Below are 5,443 nucleotides of genomic sequence, written 5' to 3'. Positions count from 1 at the left end.
CCCACAGTCCTCCAGGTGCCAGAGCAGGGTATCTGTTCCCTTGGCACACCCGAATGCCGTGGGGTGTCCCAGCAGGGGGTCATCGATGTACTGGAGCAGCACGCAGCCTAGGTCTCTGCTGGGAAACTTCTGGAGGTCTTGAGCCAGTGCCTCCCCAAAGATGGTGAGGGAGTTCTTGAACCCTTGGCGGAGTCAGGTCCAAGTGTACTGAGTGGTGACACCTGACCCCGGATCCTCCCACTGAAAGGCAAACAGTTTTTGGCTCTCAGGGGCTAGTCTGATGCTAAAGAAAGCATCTTTCAAGTCCAAGCAGGTGGACCGGCTGTCTTCGGCTGGCAGCAAACCCAACAACATGTACGGGTTAGGTACTGTTGGGTGCAAAGTCACTGTAGCTTGGTTGACCATGCAGAAACCCTGTACCAGCCTGTAGTCCTTGGTCCCTGGCTTGGGAACAGGTAGGAGGGGAGCGTTCCATGGAGACTGACAAGGGACTATAATTCCAAAGGCCCTCAGGCCCTTGAGATGGACCTGGACGCCTTCAAGGGCTTCTCTGGGAACTGGGTACTGCTTTTGCCTGACTGGCTGGGACCCAGGCTTAACTTCTATGAGTACTGGGGCCTGGTTGACAGCCAGCCCTAGAGGGTTGTCTTCCGCCCACACCTTTGGCCACTACTTAGCCAGGGCTGGTCCTATCTATTGGCCTGGCTCAGTTAAGAAGAGTCTCCATTCCTCTTCCAGAGGAACCATAAGGGCCATGATGACTCCCGTTCCAGGTAAATTTAGCTGTAAAGAGCCATGCTTTGTAAAATAGATAGTGGCTCTCAGCTTGCTAAGTAGGTCCCTTCCAGTAAAGACAAGGGGCACTCAGGCATGTACAGGAACTCGTAAATTACCTCATGCCCCGCTACAGTGCAGGTCCAGGGCAAACAGAAAGCTTGCTTTGCCAAAACCCCTGTGGCTCCGATTATATCAATAGTCTTTTTGGATAAGGGTGTGAGTGGGGTGGTTACTACTGAATGTTCAGCACCAGTATCAACAAGAAACTCAATGTCCTTGCCCCCCGACTGTCATCCTGACCATGGGCTCTTTGGGGCACATGAGTCTGATCCCCCTCAGTCCAGTAACCCTTCTGCCAGATTGAACAAGGCCCCTTCATCCTTGTCTGAGGCCTCCTGCTCAGAGTCACCCTGTTTCCCTTTCAGCTGGGGGCACTTGCCTTCCAATGTCCTATTTCCTTACAGTAAGCACACTGGTTACTCTGCAAGCATGGACGGCCAGACTGGTATTTTTCCCGGGCCCCCCCTTCTCTCGCCCTTCGGGGGCACCCCTTTAATAGCTGCGGCTAGCAGTTCGGCGTTTCACCGGACTTAGCGTTCACTCTCGCTGCGGTTCTGTGGCTTACTGCATCTCTTTTCACAAACACCTGGTTGGCTATCTCCAATAACTATGAAGTATTCATGCCTGCAAACTCAGCCTGTTTCTGTAGTTTTCTTCTAAGGTCTTCTGCACTTTGACTAACTAAAGCCATGTTAATCATGTGCTGATTTTCAGGGCTTTCAGGGTCAAAGCAGGTATACATAAGATAGGCCTCACATAGTCTCTAATAGAATTGTGCCGGGCTCTCACCTTTCCCTTGAATGACCTCAGAGACCTTGTTAATGTTTGTGGCCTTCTGAGATCCCCTCTTTAACCCTTCCAGGAGGGATTCCCTGTACCGGTTTAGCCTTTGCATAACCTGTCTTTCATTTGGGTCCCACTGGAGGTCTGTTCCTCGTAATTGGATCCTCACATACTCTTGGGGGTTTTGGTAATCAGCTGGAACATGTTCCTCTAGCCACTGAGTTGCTGCTTGGAGAACCCTTCACCTTTCATCCATGTTAAAGAGAGGTACGTGAGCAACTGGTGGCAATAGCCCAAGTAGGGTTGTGGGTCTGGATAATAGTTGGGAGCAAATCAATCATAGCTTGAGGCTTTTTGGTATAGGATGGGGTATTGTTTTTCCAATTGAGGAGATCGGCAGAGGTGAAGGGTTGATGGGATGGGGTATTGTTTTTCCAGTTGAAGAGATCGGCAGAGGTGAAGGGTTGATACACGAAGGCACCACCATATGCCCGTCCTCGTCTACCCCAGTATACCATTGCTCTCTCAGGGGCATTTGTATGCCAGTTCTAGGCCTCAAACAGGCTGCCAAGGGAAGGGTTTCTCCCAAGGTCTCACATCCTTTCTTTTCTACTCTGGGTGGCCTAGGGGTATGTAGGCCTTGTGGAAGCTTGGGCGCAGTGGGCTCAGGAGTGGGAGGCCTTCCTTCTTGGTAACAGTGCGGGCCACTGGTGCTGTTTCTTGCCATTAATCCTCTGATGTTGGGTCGGACAGGACTTTAAGAGCCAACTCCTCTCGGTGGGTGGAGCGGGAGTCTTCCTTGACTGTCTGTCCCTTTGCCGCTAGTACTACTGCCTGTCCTCTTAACCACTGTCAGGGGTCTAAAACCAGCTGTAACCAAGTGTCTATGTATGGAAACTTGGTCTGGGTGTCCTTTACCAGTTACCTTATGCCATACCTTTGAAACAAGGGACCTGACTAAGCTTCCTTCTGACGGCCAACCCACTTCTAATGCTGGCCAATCTATCTCACACAAGGTCCTAAGTTTTCCTGGAGTCATAGTAACCCCATAATCTCCATTAAAACCTTTTTTGAAATTCTTTAACATAGTTCCTAATGGAGTGGGCTTACTCTGTGTTTTACCCATCTCCTTCCCAAGACAAGAAAAGAAAGAAAAGAACACTCACGCCACAAGAGGAGATTTGTGTCAATCACAAGTATTCACTCACTTTCACTCTCCTTTCTTCAAACAAGCCAAGCCAAATCAAAATCAAAACTGAGACCAAAGTGTCAATAAGGGCACACCGTGGGTGATCAGGCCATGCTTCCACTCAAATGGAGGGGGCAAGTTCCCAGGACCGGTCCTACCATATTCCAGATGTCCAGACTCCAAACACTGGTTCCTTCCTGGTGTTCAGCCACTGTGTTGATCCTCGCAGGGTCTGCCATGCACCGCTCTGACGAGGCATTCCACCAGGGCAGATGGCTACCCGGGAGCACTCTTAGGATCTGCGTCACTCAAGCTAGCCAGAGTCCTCCGCAGGGATGCTCTGCAGGGCAGGCTTAAGCCACCTAAGGGGCTACCTCGACCGTCCATCAACCACCTCACTTCTCAGTCAGGAAACCAAGAAATGTAACAGGATGAGCTGCAGACAAAACCCCTCAGACACCAGGTTAAAGAAGGAAGAGGCTTTATTCAGCCGGGAGGTTGGCAGACTTGCATCTCAAGAACTGAGCTCCCTGAAGAAAGAATTCCTGGCCCTTTTAAAAGCTTACAACCCTGAGGGGTCCACGTGAAAGGGTTGTGATAGAGTGAGCATGCATGGGGTACATGACTATGTCCACATACATTAGCGGTGGGGATAAGCAATGCAAGTACTTCTCCATACCATAGTCTGTGATCTATAGGTAGCACAAGCTATTAGGGTGGGGGTTAATCTTTAACCTACAGGCCTGACCAGCGGTGTCGATCAGTCTGTTGTTTTTCAGCTTTTACTTCCTCCTTCTCTTTGGAGACAGGGGATAGTAAGAGAAATGGCCTCTGTCCTCATTATCATTATCATATATAATATATATGATATATTATCATATATAATATATATGATATATTATCATATATAATATATATGATATATTATCATATATAATATATCTTATATATTATCATATATAATATATCTTATATATTATCATATATAATATATCTTATATATTATCATATATAATATATCTTATATATTATCATATATAAGATATATTATCATATATAATATATAATTATGCTCATTATCATATATAATATATAATTATATCCTATTATATATCCTATTATATATTATATAATATATATTTTATATATATTATTTTATAAAAATATATATAATATATATATTTATTATATATATAAAATATATATAAAAACATAAATTTATATATATTATATAAATTTATATATATTTTATATATTATGTATATATAAAATATATATAAATATATATTATATAATATATATAAATATATATATTATATATAAAAATATATAAATTTATATATTATATATAAAATATATAAATTTATATATATATATAATATATATTATATATAATTTATATATATATTTATTATATATATATAAATTTATATATATTATATATAAATATATATAAATTGATATATATCACATATATAAATATACATAAATTTATATATATTATGTATTATTATATATATTTATAAAATATATATAACATATATTTTTATATATATATATAATGCAAGTGATATATATACGCACATTTATTAAGTATTAACTTGTACAGTCCCAGGGTCCCACAATAGGCTGTTTGCAAGCCGAGGAGCAAGGAGAGCCAGTCTGGGTGCCAAAACTGAAGAACTTGGAGTCCGATGTTTGAGGGTGGGAGGCATACAGCACAGGCTGGGAGGCCAGGCCAGTCTAGCCTTTTCACATTTTTCTGGCTGTTTTATATTCTAGCCATGCTGGCAGCTGATTGAATGGTGGCCACCCAGATTGAGGGTGTGTTTTCCTTTCCCAGGCGACTGACTCTAATGTTAACCCTGTTTGGCAATACCCTCACAGACACATCCAGGATCAATACTTTGCATCCTTCAATCCAATCAAGTTGACACTCAGTATTAACCATCACACTGGTCAATCGTACAGATTTCTGGACTCAATTTCCCCAAGATTCTGATTCAGATTTTCTGGAACAGGGCCCCAGAATTGGTATTAATATATAAATCAACAGCTCCTCAGTGGGTAGTCTGAACAGGCCTTCAGACTACTCCTAAAGAAATTCTACTTGGGACCAAACCCTTCACCAGACACAGTCCATAAAATCGCATTTTGCCAAGGAGACTAAGACAAAGTAGCATCTGAAATTCAGCAGGCATTATGAGACAGCCCCAGCCCCGGGAACTGACGCACTTTCAGGATGTGATTAATGACACCAGGAGAGACACTTTTAATTTGGATTCTTCAGCAAACCACATTCTCTGTGATAAATTAATCACAAGGAGAAAGAGAGAGGCATGCAACTCCCCCCAGGGAGCCAAGAGGCTGGCAAGGCATTCTTCACAGAAAGCTTATTCCAGAACAAGACGCACAGCGTGGGGGGAAGTTTCCAGAGAGCCACCCAGAGGACAGGAGGCCCACGGTGCTGGACTCACCTGCACGCCTGCAGAGCAAAGGGGATGTCTCCACATCCCACACTGTCAAGGTAGCTCTCTTTTCTAATTACACAAGCATCTGGCTCTTGGAGATGCCTAATTTTGGTTTCTGAAGGATGACATGAACTAGAATCATCTTAAAAAAAGTTAATGCTAG

Source organism: Homo sapiens, chromosome 12 (assembly GCF_000001405.40).
Source record: "Homo sapiens chromosome 12, GRCh38.p14 Primary Assembly".
Lineage (NCBI taxonomy): Eukaryota > Metazoa > Chordata > Mammalia > Primates > Hominidae > Homo > Homo sapiens.
The sequence above is the reverse complement of the archived record's forward strand: the minus strand, read 5'-3'. Positions refer to the sequence as shown.